Raw genomic sequence first — 20,909 nt, 5'->3', positions numbered from 1 at the left:
AGCAGGTTAGCACCAATGCCTGTATTAGATACAAGAGAATACAGCCAAGGTATGTGATTTCCTAAGGGACCCTGTCAGCTGAAGCAGTTCCCCGCTCCACCCAAGTTGGTTCTCCATCAGAATACCTTGGAAGTGGAGAGCTAATGTCTTTACTCTTGGCCTTCTACACAGCAGGGGCTATATTAAAATCTAACTACCTTTTGAGTTCATAGGAAGGCAGGGAACTGCCCTTCAGGAAACAGCCTCCCCACCATTGGTTCTTCTAATTTACTGGTCATTCCTTCTCAACTTCATCTGCAGGCCTCTTTTTTGTCCAGTCTTGCAGAGATTGCTGTTGGTCTACTCAATACCCATTCTCTCCTTCATTTTTAGTAACAGAACTTTGGTTCTTTTCAGGGAAAAATGTACCTGTAAGAGATTACATTGTCCAACTTCCATAGACGTGATTAATGGGTCAAGTGGAAGTCAGTTGGGTGGGACTTCTGGGAAATCTTCTGGAGACCTGACTTAGATAGGAGGACTGCCCTTTTGCCCTTTGCTTTTCCTTTTCCTGCCTAGAACCGGGATGGAGTGGCTGAAGCTCCACTGGCAGCCAACTGGGGTTTTTGGCACCACTGAGGATGGAAGCCACACACCTGAGGATGGCAGAACACAAGGACAGAAGGACCTGGCACACTGGGGAAGTGATGAAGCTGCCATGCTGACTCAGACTTCTTTAACAATTTAAGAATTGCCCTTCTTATTTAAACTATTGTCATTTCAATTTCTGTAATATGCAGCTGATACTAATTTTTTTGTTTTTTTGGTTTTTTTTTTTTTGAGATGGAGTCTCACTCTGTCACCCAGGCTGGAGTACAGTGGCACGATCTCGGCTCACTGCAACCTCCACCTCCCAGGTTCAAGCAATTCTCTGCCTCAGCCTCCTGAGTAGCTGGGATTACAGACGCCCACCACCACACCCGGCTAATTTTTGTATTTTTAGTAAAGAGGGGGTTTCACCATCTTGGCCAGGCTGGTCTTGAACTCCTGACCTCATGATCCACCCACCTCGGCCTCCCAAAGTGCTGGGATTACAGGCGTGAACTACCACTCCCGGCCACTAATTCTGATACACTCACTCCTTATGTAATAGTGACTCATAAAGTTATGCCTTCAAAAATTTTTCTGTATATTTTTTTCCCCTGGCAATATCCACACGCATGCCTTAAGAACACCAATGACTTCATATCCACAGTGCAAATCTGTCTTGAGCTCAACGGCTATACACTCAACTGTCTTTTAGACATATTTATCTGAGCTCTCCCACGGACACTGTGGAAGGCTAAATAAGGGCTCAAACGTGTCCATGCCCTAATCCCTGGAACCTGTGAATGGTACCTTGTATGGCAAAAGGGACTTTACAAATGTGACTAAGTTAAGGATCTTGAGATAGGGAGTATACCCCACAGTATTTAGATGGGCTTGATATAATTACAAATATCCTTATAAATGGGGGAAGCAGGAGTCAGAGTCAGAAGGCAGCAGTGTGACAGAGGAAGCAGAGACTGGTGTAAGGTGGCCACAGTCAAGGAGTACTGGCAGCCTCTAGAAGCTGAAAGAGGCAAGGAATGTTTATTAGTCCGTTTTCATGCTGCTGATAAAAGACATACCTGAGACTGGGTAATTTATAAAGGAAAGGGGTTTAATTGACTCACAGTTCCACAGGGCTGGGGAGGCCTCACAATCATGGTGGAAGATGATAAAAGAGCAAAGGAGTGTTTTACATGGTGGCCAGCAAAGAGAATGAGAACCAAGAAAAAGGGGTTTTTCCTTATAAAATTGTCAGGTCTTGTGAGACTTATTCAGTACCATAAGAACAGTATGGGGGAAACCAAACCTATGATTCAATTATCTCCCACAGGGTTCCTCCCACAACACATGGGAATTATGGGAGCTAAAATTTCAATATGAGATTTGGGTGGGGACACAGCCAAACCATATCATTCCACCCTGGGCCCTCCAAATCTTGTGTCCTCACATTTCAAAACCAATCATGCCTTCCCAACAGTCCCCCAAAGTCTTAATTCATTTCAGCATTAACTCAAAAGTCCACAGTCCAAAGTCTCACCTGAGATTAGGCAAGCCCCTTCTGCCTATGAGACTATAAAATTAAAAGCAAGTTAGTTACTTCCTAGATACAATGGGGGTACAAACATTGGGTAAATACAGCCATTCCAAATGGGAGAATTTGGCCAAAACAAAGGGGCTAAAGGCCCCATGCAAGTCTGAAATTTAGCAGGACAATCAAATCTTAAAGCTCCAACATGATCTCCTTTGACTCTGTGTCTCATATCCAGGTCATGCTGATGCAAGAGGTGGGTTCCCATGGTCTTGGGCAGCTCTGCCCCTGTGGCTTTGCAGGGTATGGCCTCCCTCCTGGCTGCTTTCATGGTCTAGCATTGTCTGCAGCTTTTCTAGGTGCGCAGTGCAAGCTGTCAGTGGATCTACCATTCTGGGGTCTGGAGGATGGTGGCCCGCTTCTCACAGCTCCACTAAGCAGTGCCCAGTGGAGACTTGTGTGGGGGCTTCAACCCCACATTTCCCTTCCACACTGCCCTAGCAGAGGTTCTCCATGAGGGCCCTATCCCTGTAGCAAACTTTAGGGACATTTCCACATATCCTCTGAAATCTAGGTGGAGGTTCCCAAACCTCAGTCTTTTTTTTTTTTGAGATGGCATTTCGCTCTTGTTGCCCAGGCTGGAGTGCAATGATGCAATCTCGGCTCACCACAACCTCCACCTCCTGGGTTCAACCGATTCTCCTGCCTTGGCCACCTGAGTAGCTGGAATTATAGGCATGCACCACCACGCCCAGCTAATTTTGTATTTTTAGTAGAGACGCGGTTTCTCCATGTTGGTCAGGCTAGTCTCGAACTCCCGACCTCAGGTGATCTGCCCACTTCGGCCTCCCAAAGTGCTGGAATTACAGGCATGAGCCACTGTGCCTGGCCAGTTCTTGACTTCTGTGCACTTGCAGGCTCAACACCACGTGGAAGCTGCCAAGTCTTGGGGCTTGCACCCTCTGAAGTCTGAGCTGTACCTTGGCCCCTTTTAGCCATGGCTGGAGTGGCTGGGACACAGGGCACCAAGTACTTAGGCTGCACAGCACAGAGGGGCCCTGGGCCTGGCCCACAAAACCATTTTTTCTTCCTATGCCTGCAGGCCTGTAATGGGAGGGGCTGCCACAAAGGTCTCTGATATGCCCTGGAGACATCTTCCCAATTGTCTTGGCAGTTAACATTTGGCTCCTTGTTACTTATGCAAATTTCTGCAGCGGGCTTCAATTTCTCCTCAGAAAATGAGGTTTTTTTTTCTATTGCATCATCAGGCTGCAATTTTCCAAACTTTTATGCTCTGTTTTCCTTTTAAAACTGAATGGTTTTAACAGCACCCAAGTCACCTCTTGAATGCTTTGCTGCTTAGAAATTTCTTCCACCAGATACCCTAAATTATCTCTCTCAATTTCAACATTCCACAAATCTCTAGGGCAGGGGAAAAATGCCACCAGTCTCTTTGCTAAAACATAACAAGAGTCACTTTATTCCAATTTCCAACAAGTTCCTCATCTCCATCTGAGACCGCCTCAGCATAGATTTCATTGTCCATATCACTATCAATCAGCATTTTGGTCAAAACCATTCAACAAGGCTCTAGGAAGTTCTAAACTTTCCCACATTTTCCTGTCTTCTGAGCCCTCCAAACTGTTCCAACCTCTGCCTGTTACCCAGTTCCAAAGTCACTTCCACATTTTTGGGTATCTTTACAGCAGCACCCCACTCTATACCAATTTACTGTAGTAATCCATTTTCATGCTGCTGATAAAGACATACCTGAGACTGGGTAATTTATAAAGGAAAGAGATTTAATTGACTCACAGTTCCACATGCCTGGGGAGGCCTCACAATCATGGCGTAAGATGAAGGAAGAGCAAAGGGGCATCTTACGTGGCGGCTAGCAAAAAGAGAATGAGAATGTGAACCCCCAAAATTTGAGACAACTCTCAGTTAATTTAGAAAGTTTATTTTGCTAAGGTTGAAAATGCACACCCATGACACAGCCTCAGGAAGTCCTGATGACATGTGCCCAAGGTGGTTGGGGCACAGCTTGGTTTTATACATTTTAGGGAGACATGAGACATCAATCAATATATATAAAAAGTACATTGGTTAGGGGGTTTCCAAGTCACAGGTAGGTGAGACAAATGGTTGCATTCTTTTGACTTTCTGATAAGCCTTTCCAAAGGAGGCAATCAGAATATGTATCTATTTCAGTGAACAGAGGAATGACTTTGAATAGAATGGGAGGGAGGTTAGCCCTGAGCAGTTTCCAGCTTGAATTTCCTTTTCCTCAGCTCACTGCAGCCAAGATATTTTCCTTTCACAAGAGCCAAGTGAAAGCGGTTTCCCCTTATAAAACCATCAGATCTTGTGAGACTTATTCACTATCACGAGAACAGTATGGGGGAAGCCACCCCCATGATTCGATTATCTCCCACTGGGTCCCTTCCACAACATGTGGGAATTATGGGAGCTAAAATTCAAGTTGAGATTTGGGTGGGCACACAGCCAAACCATATCAGAATGGATTCCCTTATCAAATCCCCAGATGGAACCAGCTTTGTTTTCACCCTGATTTTTAGCCCACTGAGGCTCATTTTGGCCTTCTAACCTCCAAAACTGTAAGAGGATAAAGTGTACAGTAAGTTGTTACAATAGTGGTGGGAAATTAACACAAGCACCTCAAACCTAACATATCCAAAATAAATTCATTAATTTTCTCCCAAAACCTGATCCTCTTATATTGCCTACCTTTACACCATCCAAACCAGAAATTACTCATATATACTAAATTGTCTTATTCTCTCCTCCTCACTCATCACTGGGTATTTTTGGTTCTATGCATTATCCTTCAAATCAGTTCCTGATTCAAGCTTGCATATCTTCCATCTGTGCTATTACTGTAGCCCAGTGGTTCTCAACTGGGGGCAAATTTGTCACCTAGGGAACATTTGGCAATGTCTGGAGACATTTTGATTGTCACCACTGTGTGGGGGGCTGCTACTCACTGGCATCTAGTGGTTAGAGGCCAAAGATGCTCCTGAACATCCACAGTGCACATGACAGCCCCCACAACAAAGAATTATCTGGCCCAAAACATCAATAGCACCAAGGATGAGAAACTGCTATAGTCTTATAACTAGTCTCCCTACCTCCCATATTAAGCCATTCCAGTCATGATCATTATAAATTCCAATTCCCTGATTAAATCTATTTTGTTATTAATCATAACTTGAAATCCCTTTTCTTTTCTTTTCTTTTCTTTTCTTTCTTTCTTTCTTTTTTTTTTTTTTTTGAGACAGAGTCTCGCTCTTTTCGCCCAGGCCGGACTGCAGTGGCGCTATCTCGGCTCACTGCAAGCTCCGCCTCCCGGGTTCACGCCATTCTCCTGCCTCAGCCTCTCGAGTAGCTGGGACTACAGGTGCCCGCCACCGCGCCCAGCTAATTTTTTGTATTTTTAGTAGAGACGGAGTTTCACCATGTTAGCAAGGATGGTCTCGATTTCCTGACCTTGTGATCCGCCCGCCTCGGCCTCCCAAAGTGCTGGGATTACAGGCTTGAGCCACCGTGCCCAGCCGAAATCCCTTTTCAATAGCATCAATATCTGGATCATTTGTGAACTTGTTGGCTTTTATTTCTCTCCGTTTTCAGTCATTTTGTCCTTTTTCTTGAAATGCCAGGTCATTTTTAATTGAATGCTGACTTGGGCTATGAAAAGTGATAGTGGCTCTGTAGGTTATCTTACTCCAGGGAAGGTTTACCCTTTCTTTTGTTAGATGGAATGATTATCTTAATCCGTTTAGAGACTGTGCTGACTCAAGGCTGGGTTGAAAATGTGGAAAGACTTTTACCTCTGGCTCAATTCCACTTTTTTTTTTAAGATGGGGTGTCATTCTATCGTCCAAGCTGCAGTGGCACGACAAGGGCTCACTGCAGGCTCAGCATTCCAGGCTCAAGCAATCCTCCCACCTCAGCCTCCTGAGTAGTTGGGATTAAAGGCACTCGCAACCATGCTCGGCTAATTTTTTTTTTAATTTTTTGTAGAGACGGGGTCTCACTATTCAACTCCACTCTTCTTCTTCTTTTATTTCTTTTTCTTTTTTTCTTTTTTTTTTTTTTTTTTTTGAGACGGAGTTTTGCTCTTGTCGCCCAGGCTGGAGTGCAGTGGCGCAATCTCGGCTTACTACAACCTCCACCTCCCGGGTTCAAGCGATTCTCCTGCCTCAGCCTCCAGAGTAGCTGGGGCTACAGGCACACGCCACCACGCTGGCTGACTTTTGTATTTTTAGTAGAGACGGGGTTTCCTCGTGTTGACCAAGATGTTCTCAATCTCCGGACCTTGTGATCTGCCCGCCTCGGCCTCCCAAAGTGCTGGGATTATAGGCGTGAGCCACCGTCAACTCCACTCTTAAAGTGTAGCTTTTTGGAGTTCTAACAGAGCCTAGGGAGTTGACTGGGCCTATCCTAAGGCAAGTCTTTAACTTTATTTCTTTGACAAAAACTCTGTTCAGCTCTTTAGGAACTTTCTGCTGGGCTTCTTAGCCTCCTGCCTTGTTCAGCTTGAAAACGTAGCAAATGTCTTTTTTTTGAGACGGAGTTTTTGCTCTTGTTGCCTAGGCTGGAGTGCAATGGCACAATCTTGGCTCACTGCAACCTCCACCTCCCGTGTTCAAGCGATTTTCCTGCCTCAGCCTCTGAGTAGCTGGGATTACAGGCATGTGCCACCATGCCCAGCTAATTTTGTATTTTTAGTAGAGACGGGGTTTCTCCATTTGATCAGGCTAGTCTCGAACTCCTGACCTCAGGTGATCTGCCCACCTCGGCCTCCCAAAGTGCTGGGATTACAGGCGTAAGCCACTGTACCCGGCAGCAAATGTTTTAAGGGTAGGCTGTTGGGCACATATTCTGCCCCTTCCTTCTCACTGAGATATTCCTCCTTCAAGTCTCTGGTTATTGTTTCTTTATCCCCAAGATACTGCCAAGAGCTCTATGGTTTCTCTGCCTTTCAGGAGAGGGTCTCTACCCCAGCCCTGTCCCTGGGTTCTTAGGCTTTTGCTTCACACCCAGAACTGGTAATCACTCAGAGGAAAAATGTAGCTACAGAATGTCACCTCACCTCTCTTTGCAATTCTTTCTCCAAGGTCTTCTCCTTTCAAGTCCTGATTTCTTCTCCATTATCTTCAAGCAGATTTTTAAAAAGACAACAAAACAAAACAAACAAACAAACAAACAAAACCCTAGTTGGGTTTTTTTACAGGCGCGGTGGCTCACGCCTGTAATCCCAGCACTATGGGAGGCCAAGGCGGGCAGATCATCTAAGGTCAGGAGTTCCAGACCAGCCTGGCCAACATGGTGAAACCCCATCTCTACTGAAAATACAAAAGAATTTGCCAGGTGTGGTGGTGTGTGCCTGTAATCCCAGCTACTCAGCATGCTGAGGCAGAAGAATCGCTTGAACCCGGGAGGTGGAGGTTGCAGTGAGCTGAGGTCGCCCCATTGCACTCCAGCCTGGGCAAAAAGAGCGAAAATTTGTCTCAAAAAAAAAAAAGAAAGAAAGAAAGCAACGCTGGTTTTTCTTACCATTCTCAGTAGGAGTGCTCTGCTGCAAGATACTTCATCTTTGGCTCCACACAAGAAAGAGGTGGACCTCAGGCCTCATCAACTCCCCACAGCCCTCCCTCTTTATCTTGGACCTGCAGGTTCACTTACAGATGACCTGCCCTTATAAAGAACTTGCCTAACATCTCAGCCCTGCCTTAATGCCAGCAGAATAACATTGTCTTTCCTCACAATCTCCCAGCATCTCAGTCCCATTTATTTCCAGATCCCCAAACTAGCCTCCCTCTACATCCCAGGCCAGAGTAAACAATACTTGGACTTTCTTTACTTTTCTCAAAAGCAGGATTGCCTGCTTTCTAAATCCTGTGATTTTATTTTGTAGTGGTTCCCACTCCTGTCTCCTTGTTAAAATTCTGTAGTAAATGCTGTGCCTGCTCCAAATAAATTATGGAAGAAAACACATTTGGACACTCACAGATATATCGCATTCTGTTTTTCCATTTATTCCCAAGATAAAAGGTTTGATAGCCCTCTCGTAGGTTGAATTCTCTTCTATGGATTGTAAATTAGTCAATTTGTGACTATTTTGCTAAGCAGAGTCAAAGATCCCTATTAAAAACAATAATGGTGGCCATTTTATAACTATGGTATTTTGTGCTTCAATTGCATGGATACCAGGGGTTTTCTATGCCTGGTCTCATTTAGCACTTAATCCTGTGCATATTGGGGGCGGGGGCAGTAACTGTTGAATGCACTTTATTTAATCAGGAAACAGAAGCTAAGCGATGTTAGATTGCTCATTAGTAAGTTATAGAACTAAGATTCAAAGTCAAGACTCTCCAACGTCAAAACTCTTGCCCTTCCTAATACAGTTCTGCCTCCTAGCCCTTAATTCTCAGTATCTGATGTTACATAATTTCAAACCCTGGTCAGTCATTGTAACTACCCATGGGTCCCCAGAGAGAATGTGGATGTCTCAGAATGGTCCATCACCTTGACTGAACAGTTAAAATGCAGTGACAACATAGGACATGTTTAGAGGCTGATAATAAAATTTAAAAATATTATGCCTTCCATCAACAGATGAATGGATAAAGAAAATGTGGTCTATGTACACAATAGAATACTAGATAGCCTTTAAAAAGGAAATTCTCGCTGGGCACGGTGACTCATGTATGTAATCCCAGCACTTTGGGAGGCCAAGACAGGTGGATCTCCTGAGGTCAGAAGTTCGAGACCAGCCTGCCCAACATGGTGAAACCCCGTCACTACTAAAAATACAAAAATTAGGCTGGGCACAGTGGCTCACACCTGTGATCCTAGCACTTTGGGAGGCTGAGGTGGGCAGATCACGAGATCAGGAGTTCGAGACCAGCCTGGCCAACATAGTGAAACCCTGTCTCTACTAAAAATACAAAACGTTGCCGGGCATGGTGGTGCACACCTGTAGTCCCAGCTACTTGGGAGGCTGAGGCAAGAGAATCGCTTGAACCTGGGAGGCAGAGGTTGTGTGTTGAGCCAAGATCACACCATTGTATTTCAGCCTGGGCAACAGAGCAAGACTCCATCTCAAAAAAAAAAAAAAAAAAAAACTAGCCTGGCTTGATGATGGACACCTGTAATCCCAGCTACTTGGGAGGCTGAGGCAGGAGAATCACTTGAACCTGGGAGGCAGAGGTTGCAGTGAGCTGAGACTGCGCCATTGCACTCCAGCCTGGGCAACCAGTGAAACTCTGTCTCAAGAAAAATATAAATAAATATAATCCCAGCACTTTGGGAGTCCAAGGCAGGTGGAGCAGACGGTCAGAAGTTCAAGACCAGCCTGGCCAACACAGTGAAACCCCATCTCTACTAAAAATACAAAAATTAGCCGGGCATGGTGGCCGTTGCCTGTAATCCCAGCTACTCAGAAGGCTGAGGCAGAAAATTGCTTGAACCTGGGAGGCAGAGGTTGCAGTGAGCCGAGATCACATCCCTGCAATCCAGCCTGGGTGACAGAGCAAGACTCTGTCTCAAAAATAATGATAATAAATAAATGAATTAAATTAAAAATAAAAAGGAAATTCTGCCATTTGTGAGAACATGGATGAACTTGAAGGGCATTATGCTAAGTGAAATAAACCAGGCTCAGAAAGACAAACACTGCATAATGTCACTTGTATGTAGAATCTGAAAAACCCGAACTCATAGAAGGAAAGAGTAGAATGGTGGTCACCAGAGGCTGGCCGGTGGGTGGGACGAGCGTGAAAAAAGGGGAAATGGTCAAAGCATACAAAGTTTTAGTCATTTATTGCACAGCAGGGTGACTATAGTAATGTATATTTCAAAATTGCTATTAGAGTAGATGTTTAAATGTTTTTACCACAAAAATGATAAGCCGTTGATGGATGTGTTAATTACCTTGAATTAATCTTTCTACAGTGTATGCATATATCAAAACAACACATTGAACCCCATAAATATATACAAATATTATGCCTAAGTACTAGTTAGTGACTGAGAACACACAAAGAAGATTGGAAGCTTTAAGTACATTATCTCTCAAAAGAAAAAGAGATTATTGGTACAATCGTTGCTGACTTGCTGATGGGGCAAGGGGCACTACTGACCTCCTCTGGGCTATGCATAGATGAGGAGCAAAAGATGTAGACAAAGAAGTGGAATCGTGGCCTATGCAAATACCCAGCTAGTCCCTCACTGGAGTGACTCCTTGGACTCTTCCAGGTAGGTCTACATGTGCTGTTAGTTCCCAAACCCAGTTAACGTTTGTGTCACTCCTATAGCTGGAACTGCCTTTTTCTCCAGCACGATTTGTTTTAAATATGTTCTAGTCAGGGCTCCTAGCAAAGAAAAGAGATTTCATCAAGATATCTCAGATAAAGGAAAGTTTTGGAGGTTTGGGTTTTTAAAGAATAAGATATACTATCAATAATGAAAAGTCTGAAGGCCAGGCATAGTGGCTCATACCTGTAATGTCAGCACTTTGCGAGGCTGAGGCAGGAGGATCGCTTGAGCCAGGAGTTCAAGAATGCAGTGAGCTATGATTGCACCATTGCACTCCAGCCTGCCTGGGTGACAGAGTGACACCCTGTCTCAAAAATATAATAATAATAATAATAATAATAATAATAATAATAATAATAAAGATTCTGAGGTTTTACTCTACTTGGAAGCTAACAAGTTAGCCTGCCACCATTTTGTGGATGCTGGCAAAAGACACAAGACTCTTGGTCAGAGACAAGGGATAATTTATTAATTGCTAGAATAGCAAAAGCCAGAGTATCATCATTTCTGTGTCAGTTCCTTAACTCCAAGTCCCACAGGGTGACACAAAGATGGCCAGATATTACCTACGCCTGCAGTGGGTTACATTACACAAAGATCCCAGAGCACAGGGAACCTGAATCTTTTATAATGAGCCTAAACCTGAATGACTTTGCCCCCTTGGGAGAAATTATCTTTATTTTCCTAGTCGGTAAACAAAACGTGCCTTTTGCTCTAGAGGAACACACTATCTTTATCTTCCAAGGCTGTTCATTATACAAACATCCTTGAAAAAAATCATCCAGAACTAAGTCTCTATTCTCCAGAACAGTACCTCTGTTCACAAGATGAGTGGATGCATGAGAGACTCATGGAGAACTGTCTCCCAACACACGCAACCCATGGAACGTGTGGAAATTCAAGGACAAGCCTGGGCCTCACAGAGTCAGGAGCTAGAGGATGGCAGGGTTTGGGGATCTTAACTCTAGAGCACTACTATTACTGGGATTCAGCCACAATCCACATGTCTTACTGCCCTGCTACCAACTGGAAAATCCGTTTTTAAATTTCAGTGCAAAATACAATTGACACAGATCCTTTTTTATCCCGGACCTTAAGGCATATATTGCTGATTAATCTGTGTTCTGGCTTTGGTCCGTGTTCATCAATGACTTAGACAGTAGTGGTTGGAAGAGTTCATATGGTCTTAAAAACCTCCAATGTGGGTGTTGATGCCTCTAGGAGGGTTCAAATAATGATCTCTCTTTTCCCCACACAAGTCCTGAATAAAATGAAAAATAAAACAAAGAACAAGTTAGATGGGAAACTAAATACCACCTCATCTACTGATAAAGATGAAGCTGGGAAGCTTAGGGCAAGACCAAGCAAGCCTACTAGCTGGACCCCAGAGTTAGACAGATTTCAGCACCCACTTGCAGGCAGTGCTGGACAGAGGAGTTAGAATGTCTGCTTCCTTGAAATGTTAGCTCCCAAAAGGAAAGAGAGATTCAAACCATATAGGCCTATTTCAATTCTCCCTAAATTTACAGAGGAAGAGGTAAAGGAGTGAGGAGATGCCATGAGTTCTATTAACTGAGCTTCCTCCACATAGATGGACACATTGGGTAGTATTTTTTTTTCTAATAGTAGGAAGCAGTAACCACTGATACTGGAATCATCTTCAATCTCTTACCCACTCCCCCCACCCCCATTGCATGCTAGGCATCCCCTTCATATCGTATATTTCCCATCACAGTCTCTGAGGCCCTGGAGGACAGGGTCAATGTTCTATTTATCTTTGTAAATAGAACAAAGATTTTTTATATCCCTAACAATATACTATTTGGCAGTATGAAACTAGTAAATATTCTATGAATTAATATATATGATCTCCCCAACAATAATTTAAGCTCTGGGATGGCAGAGACTACCTCATTTAATTTCTATTTCTCACACTGCTGTCAATTAATCTTATTTGATTGCCTGAACCAGAGATCTCAGACTCCCTCAAGAAATGGGGGTTTACTGGAAAAAAAACTTACTGTAATGTTGGAAGCTGGAATGGCATAGGCCTATAAAAGTAACTCTATTCACAGTCTGAAGCAGCTTTAGGGACCAGATTAACAGTTTTGCCCCTTCAGCAGTTGTTGGATCTTTCTTTTCTTTTCTTTTCTTTTTTTTTTTTTTTTTTTAAGACAGAGTTTTGCTCTTGCCGCCCACGCTGCAGTGCAATGGCACGATCTTGGCTCACTGCAACCTCCACCTCCCGGGTCCAGGCAATTCTCCTGTCTCAGCCTCCTGAGTAGCTGGGATTACAGGCACCTGCCACCATGCCTGGCTAATTTTTGAATTTTTTAGTAGAGATGGGGTTTTACCATGTTGGCCAGGCTGGTCCTGAACTTCTGACCTCAGGTAATCCACCTGCCTTGGCCTCCCAAAGTGCTTGAATTACAGGCGTGAGCCACTGCGCCCAGCCATTGTTGGATCTTTCATCTAATTTGCTACTGTTAATATGGCTTCTCTTTTTAGTATTTGTTTCTTTTTGATGTCTTCTCTGTGCCTGCTATTGACTAGCTGACCCTGCCCCCATTCAACCACGTAAGTGAGAAAATTCAATTGACTTGATTAACTCTCCTTGACAGGTAGAGCTTTTTAAACCAAGCCACTTCATAAGTTGCTTGGTGCCCATCTTTGTCCTGATAGCCTTCTCTTACTCCAAAAACCACCTAGGGCCCATATCAATTAATTCAGGGCTCTCAGGAAGGTACTTTTCCTAGGAAGCAGTTGGTGGGCCTGACAGACCTTGTGGCTGGAATTTCTAATAAGGGTCTTACACAGGGCTTAAATTAAATGTTTATTTATGTTATCTGAAGAGTGAGTCTGAAGAATTTCATGACTATGTATAATTTATTTAATCCTGTTTAGTAAATTCTAGATATTTGTTTGAGCCTTAACACTGAGCTAGGGTATAAATATTCTATTCTGTGACTAGTATCTGTCAGTTATTTTGAGATTCTGGAAGAGTTTGTGAATCTTTCTCTTCACAGTCAGTTCCCTGCCTTTGACTAAAAAGCCAACTTTTTTTTGAAGTTAAACATTTTCCCCAGTGCATTGGAGAGCTATGGCACTTTGTTTTCAAATGATCATTCACCAGGACGATATGTTCTTTCCTCTCTCAGAATCATTCAGGACAGCGCTTTTACAAATATAAGCAATTTCAGGTTAGTCTGATTTGGCCTTTCAGTATTGCCTTATGTCTTTCTTAAAAATTTAACATGAATTTATTTATTTATCTATTTATTTTTCTAAAAGGTTTTTGAAATGGAGTCTTGCTCTGTTGCCCAGGCTGGAGTGCAGTGGTGCAATCTCTGCTCACTGCAACCTCCGCCTCCCCAGTTCAAGCAATCCTCCTGCCTCAGCCTCCCAACTAGCTGGGACTACAGGCATGCACCACCATGCCCAGCTAATTTTTTTTTTTTTTTTAGTGGAGATAGGGTTTTGCCATGTTGGCCAGGCTGGTCTCGAACTCCTAACCACAAGTGATCCACTTGCCTTGGCCTCCCCAAGTGCTGGGATTACAGGCATGAGCCACCGTGCCCCGCTAACATGAATTTTTAACATACATTTTGGCTGGGCAAGGTGGTTTACACCTGTAATCCCAGCTACTTAGGAGGCTGAGGTGGGAGGATCACTTGAGGCCAGGACTTTGAGACCCCCATCTCTAAAGATGAATAAATAAAAATACACATTTTGTATATTCTATCAATATTTTACATACATTATCTCAGTCTTCCTTACAGCCCTATGAAGTAAGTGTTTTTAGTGTTTTACAGATTAGAAAATTAGAGCTCAGGGGTCAGATGTGGTGGCTCATGCCTGTAATCCCAGAACTTTGGGAGGCTGAGATGGGTGGATCACTTGAGGCCAAGAATTTGAGACCAGCCTGGCTAACATGGTGAAACCCCGTCTCCACTAAAAATACAAAAATTAGCCAGGCATGGTGGCACGCACATGTAATCCCAGCTACTCGGGAGGCTGAGGCATGAGAATCGCTTGAACCTGGGAGGCGGGGGTTGCAGTGAGTGAAGATGGCACAACTGCACTCCAGCCTGGGCAACAGAGTGAGACTCCATATCAAAAATAAATAAATAAATGAAAAAGAAAATTAGAGCTCAGGAAGGTTAAGTAATTTGTCCAAGTGTGCACAACTGATGAGCACAGGAATGGAGGTTTCAAACCCAGGGCTGTCAAGGGCTATGGTCTTTACACTCACCTATGTTGAGTTATTTTCTAGGCTCTTTCGGAACACAGAGTATTATGTGGTGGATCACAGAAAAGTGAAACTGCCTCGCAGCTCTCTTCTTTCTTGCTCACCACCTCTCCCTCCCATAGTTGCATTACCTGTTGCAACTAACTGGATTCTCTTTGTTCCATCCATCCACCAATATCTACTACATATTTTGATGCTTAATACATAAAAATACCTATTGGAAGCCTAAAAATTACACAAATTTAAATTTAGATGATTTAATAACACATTATAAGGTCAGATATTATCTAGGAGCTCTGAAGGGAATAAATGAGGAAATTAAAAGTATAACAAAAATAAAAAAATAAAAAAGTGTTCTTGAGAGTAGGGTGAAAGAAAAAATCAGGGATCTTAAGAACTTCATATTATTCTCAGTTTTTCCTGGAGCTGGCTCTGTATACACGTGATTCTGAGGGTGACAGCAGCTTTTAAAAACTGGTAGCCAAAATTCTAACACTTCGCATAAAATAAAAATGCATTGAAAAATACCCCTTGGCAAATCAGGGCGACCTGGCATTGCTTGGCCTCATAGTGAACACAAGAGGGCGCTGAACTCCACAGTGATGCACAGGCCACAAGTAGCGTGGCAGCATGTATACAAATAAGCAGCATGTATACAAATAGTTGTTTTCAAGCGATATTTCTTAAAAGTTATACCAAGTGTTAAAAAGACTTATAGCTTCTCTCCTAGTTATATCTACCTCTAGTTTAGTAGATATCCATCTCAGTTAATTTTATGATTTTATGTGCCTGGAAAATTTGCCAGAGACCAGATTGAAGGTCTTTTTTTTTTTTGTCTTTTTTTTTTCTTGAGACAGTCTCCCTCTGTCACCTAGGTTGGAATGCAGTGGTGCGATCTTGACTCACTGCAACCTCCACCTCCCGGGCCTCAGCCTCCCGAGTAGCTGGGATTACAAGCGTATGCCACCATGCTTGGCTAATTTTTTTTGGATTTTTAGTAGAGATGGGGTTTCACCATGTTGACCAGACTGGTCTCAAACTCCTGACCTCAAGTGATCCACCCTCCTCGGCCTCCCAAAGTGCTGGAATTACAGGCGTGAGCCACCACACCCGGCCGGTCTTAACATTTCTGAAGAAATCAAAAAAAGGTTGGTGAGGCATGGGAGCATAGAAAGAAATGTTGCAGAAGCATCAGTAGGGACCATGCAAGCTTTCTTGGCGAAGGAGGAGCCTTAGCAATGACTTCAAATATTGCAATTCCATAAGAAGACCTGCACCGTCTTAGCTGGAGACCATTAACTTCCCTAAAACCATTAACTCTTCACATCAGCCAACCCCTATGCTCTGGTTCCATACTCACAAAGCAACCTCTGACAATTATTTAGCTTCTCGTGGGTGTCTGTGTCCAGGGATGGAGTGCTCAAGAACAAAACAAACATTAAAAATTCTCATTTCCCATGGCAAAACAAAACAAAAATGGGAATATTATAAATAAGTACTGTCCGGGTGCAGTGGCTCACGCCTGTAATCCCAGTACTTTGGGAGGCCGAGGCAGGCGGATCACCTGAGGTCAGGAGTTCGAGACCAGGCTGGCCAACATGGTAAAACCCCATCTCTACTAAAAATGCAAAAATTAGCTGGGTGTGGTAGCTGGTGCCCGTAATCCGAGCTACTTGGGAGGCTGAGGCAGGAGAATTGCTTGAACCCGGGAGGTGGAGGTTGCAGTGAGCCGAGATTGCACCACTGCACTCCAGCCTGGGGGAAAAGAGCGAGACTTCGTCTCAAAAATAAATAAATAAATAAATAAATAAATACATAAAACTACATTTGGTAGCAGTTATATTTCTTATTTTGGGAGAGTCAAAGGACAAAGAAGATTTTTAAATGATACCCAGATTTTAAATCTGTGTGTCAGAGAAAACCACTAATAGAAATAGGAAAGAGTTGGGGGACAATGGGAATTAAGGTTTTGCCATGAATATGAGGTGCAGGTGGCAACTATCAACGAGCCGTCGGAAATGAGATATTGGTACTTAGGAGAGATAGGGAGGAAGATACCTGTTTAGGTCTCATTGGCACGGAAAGATTATTGCATGGATGGGATTACTGGGGAGGAGCGTGGAGAAAGAAGAAATGAGGCCTGAGGGGCCAGGCGCAGCGGCTCACGCCTGTAATCCCAGCATTTTGGGAGGCCGAGGTGGGCGGATCACTTGAGGCCAGGAGTTCATGACCAGCCTGGCCAACATGGTGAAACCTCATCTCTACTAAAAATACAAAAAAATTAGTTGGGCATGGTGGCATGCACCTGTAATCCCAGCTACTCGGGAGGCTGAGGCAGGAGAATCGCTTGAACCCAGGAGGCGGAGGTTGCAGTGAGCTGAGATTGCACCACTGCACTCCAGCCTGGGTGACAGAGCAAGACTCTGTCTCAAAAAAAAAAAAAAAAAAAAAAAAAGTCCGGGCACGGTGGCTGACGCCTGTAATCCCAGCACTTTGGGAGGCTGAGGGGGTGGATCACCCAAGGTCAGGAGTTCAAGTCCAGCCTGACCAACATGGTGAAACCCCGTCTCTACTAAAAATACAAAAATTAGCTGGGCATGGTGGCGGGTGCCTGTAATCCCAGCCACTCAGGAGGCTGAGGCCGGAGAATTGCTCGAACCCAGGTGGCAGAGGTTGCAGTGAGCCAAAATTGCGCCATTGCACTCCAGCCTGGGTGACAAGAGCGAAACTCCATCTCAAAAAAAAAAAAAAAAGAAAGAAAGAAAGAAATGAAAAAAGAAATGAGGCCCAAGGACAGTTTTAGGGAGCTAGGAAATAAAACCCAAGAAAGGCAATGACAGGATAGGGAGGATAGATGTCATTTGGAAAAGGAAAGAGTAAGAGAGTAGTATCAAATGCTGCAGAAAAAAACAAAAAGGACAAGGACTGGATTTTTCCATTTAAAAATCACCAATGACATTCGAGAGGACAAGTTTCAACAGATACGTTGGGTTAGAAGTTAAATATTAACCAGTTAACCCGTAGGTGGCCCTGGAACATCTTGTCATATCAGGAGCAAGAAAACCCTCATCTTGGAAGTCAACTTGAAAAGGATAACACTGGCCAAAGATGGGTTAATATGAGTGTCAATAAGGATAGTAATGGTATTAGTTCTCTATTGCTGCTGTAAAAAATTGCCACAATTTAGTGGCTTAAAACAACACAAAGTGGCACTTCTATAGGTTAGAAATCCAACCCATGTCTCACTGAGCTCACATCAAAATGTCAGCAGGGCTGTGTTCCTTCCTGCAATTCTAGGGAAAAATCTGTTTCCTTGCCATTTTCCAGCTCCTAGAGGTTGTTGCCTGCATTCCTTGGCTGGTGGCCACCTTCCTCCATCTTCAAAGCCAGCAATGGTAGAGTCTTCATATTACATCACTCTGCCCTCCTCTTTTGCCTGCCTTATCTATTTGTAAAGACCTTTGTGATTACGTTTGGCCCACTGGGATAATCCGGGCTAATCTCCCTATTTTAAGGTCAGCTGATAAGTAACCTTAATTCCATCTGGAATCTTAATTCCTCTTTGCCACATAACAGCATACAAGTTCCTGGGATTAGGACATAGATCTCTTTGGGGGAAGCATTATTCTGTCTACCACAGCACTACAACAGATTGACACACATCAAATATGTTTAAATGCATGAGTTCAAGATAATATTATATTAAGACAAACAAACAAAACTCACTGCCAGGAAACTGACACAGTGCTTTTGAAAACTGGTAAATAAAGAGAAACGATCAACTATTTGTCCTGCCTTTCCTGTAAGGACTCTTACCTTGGTAACCAAAAAGTTGATAAAGTTTTCTTTATAAAAGTTACTACCTGGAAAGCTAATACATGAGCAGCAGGTGCCACCATTTCCCAATGCTCAGTGAATTAATGAATCTGAGCAGTGATTATCAGTGATGGCTAACATCACAAAAACAAAACAGATATCAGGATATTCTGTCTTCTGACAGGAATACAGAATACCACCTGCAACTCCTTCTTGCCAACACAACTGATCCCAAAACTAGTGAAGCCTCCAGCTTCAACCAACAGTTTACAGGAAATACAGGGGATAAAGGAACACACGAAATGACCACATAGGTGCAGTGAACAAAACCCAGACTGTGGGAAAGTCCACGGGACAAATGACCTATTTCTTCAAGAAATCGTAAGAACAACAACAACAAAGATAGAGGGCAACTTATTGTTGGAAGACTTAAAAATGAAACATATCAACAATGACAATGCATGGATTTTATTTGGGTCCAAATTCAAGCCAACTAACTTAATAATTTATAAGGCAATTAGGAAAATGTAAATAATGACTGCATGAATAACTGATGATATTAAGAAAGTGTTTGATTTTCTCAGGTGTTCCAATGAAATATTTACAGATTAAATGACATAATGTCTGGGATTTGCATCAAAATAACCTAGAGGCAAGGCCAGGAGTAGGTTGGGGAACAGATGAAACAAGAGTGGACAAGATGGAGACGATTACCATAAACTGATAATTGTTGAAGCCAGGTAATGGGTTCAGGGAGTTTCATTATACTGCTTTCTTTCTCTTTTTAAAAATACTTGCAGTTGTCTACAGTTAAAGAAAAATATCATTTAAAAAGGTGGTTGAGCCCGGGCGCAGTGGCTCACGCTTGTATTCGTGTTTCCACTGAGTCAGCTGCAGGCTGAGGGGAGAAAGCTCTGCCTGATCTAAGTACTGCATTACATTTTGTGTCCACTGGGCGGCAATATCAACATTTGATCCTGCCTGCCACTAAATCCTCAGGAGGCAGCAGTGCCAGATTACATCTGTGTCTGTGAAGTTCCACCTTTCCCGCTTCTGATCATTTTCTTCCCCCATTCTCCACCCTGTCAAACGTGGAGCTGCCAGAGCCACGGTGACTGGGAAAGAGGAGCAGACGGTACAGGCTAGGAAACAGAGAGGAGGCTGATCTTCCCACCTTTCCTCAAGTTGGGGTAGAGGAAAGGCTTTCATCTTAAAGACTTGCATTTTTGTTTTGTTTTGTTTTGTTTGTTTTGTTTGTTTGTTTGTTTGTTTTTTGAGACGGAGTCTCGCTCTATTGCCCAGGCTGGAGTGCAGTGGCGCGATCTCGGCTCACTGCAAGCTCTGCCTCCCGGGTTTATGCCATTCTCCTGCCTCAGCCTCCTGAGTAGCTGGGACTACAGGCGCCCGCCACCATGCCCGGCCAATTTTTTGTATTTTTAGTAGAGACGGGGTTTCACCGTGTTAGCCAGGATGGTCTCGATCTCCTGACCTCGTGATCCGCCCGCCTCGGCCTGCCAAAGTGCTGGGATTACAGGCGTGAGCCACCGCGCCCGGCCTAAAGATTTGCATTTTGACTAATGCATGAGATAAAATTTTAACTAGTGGCTTGGCCCTAGACAAGACCAGAGGATTTTTTTTTATTACCTAAGAGTAGAGCTGATACTGAGCCAGTCCACACCATTATGGCCGGACCCATTGTCAAAATACTCAAATCTCCTGTACTAGTTGGTAAATAGCCCCAGCCTGCACCCCTGGTGTTCACTCACCCACCGCCCTGGCTGCCATGACCCTGATGCTGGAACCCTCCATGAGCCCTGCCATGCAGAAACTAAAGAGGTCACACTTGGCCCAGCAGGGGGCCCCCAAGAGCTGCTCCACTTTGGCCAGTGTGAGTTCCAATTGGGGTTGCAGCTGAAACAATTATTAAGATTGGCCAGAGAAATCACGGGACAGGGAAGGGCAGGAACCAGTCCCACTAAGCCTGTGGGGGAAAGGAATAAAGTTATTTTCACTGTACTTCCTTTTGGTTAAAGTACTGATTACACAATTATTGACATACTTAGGAAAATCAACAACCACAATGACAAAATGAAGGAAATGAAAAAGTCAGAGTTGCAGGGTATAAGATACACCTATGCAAATAAACTGCATTTCTACACCAAGTTAAATTTTAAATGATTAAAAATTCCATTCATAACAGCAAAAAGGCACTAGTAATTCAAGACAGGAGATTTTGTCAAGGAAGTAATTTCTTTTTTTTTTTTTTTTTGAGACGGAGTATCGCTTTGTCGCCCAGGCTGGAGTGCTGTGGCGCGATCTCGGCTGTTTGCAACCTCTGCCTCCCGAGTGAAAGCGATTCTCCTGCCTCAGCCTCCTGAGTAGCTGGGATTACAGGCGCACGCCACT

General features: G+C 43.7%; 2 annotated features.

Moving 5' to 3' along the window:
• Nucleotides 19,562-19,641: an enhancer, noted in NCBI's record as "active region_25764". NCBI's record gives its function as "activates an Ori minimal core promoter by ATAC-STARR-seq in GM12878 lymphoblastoid cells {active_cell/tissue: GM12878}" and the evidence as "EXISTENCE:reporter gene assay evidence [ECO:0000049][PMID:35858748]".
• Nucleotides 19,662-19,711: an enhancer, noted in NCBI's record as "active region_25763". NCBI's record gives its function as "activates an Ori minimal core promoter by ATAC-STARR-seq in GM12878 lymphoblastoid cells {active_cell/tissue: GM12878}" and the evidence as "EXISTENCE:reporter gene assay evidence [ECO:0000049][PMID:35858748]".

This window comes from Homo sapiens, chromosome 7 (assembly GCF_000001405.40).
Source record: "Homo sapiens chromosome 7, GRCh38.p14 Primary Assembly".
In the NCBI taxonomy this organism is placed as follows: domain Eukaryota; kingdom Metazoa; phylum Chordata; class Mammalia; order Primates; family Hominidae; genus Homo; species Homo sapiens.
This window is presented reverse-complemented; position numbering and strand designations above follow the sequence as displayed.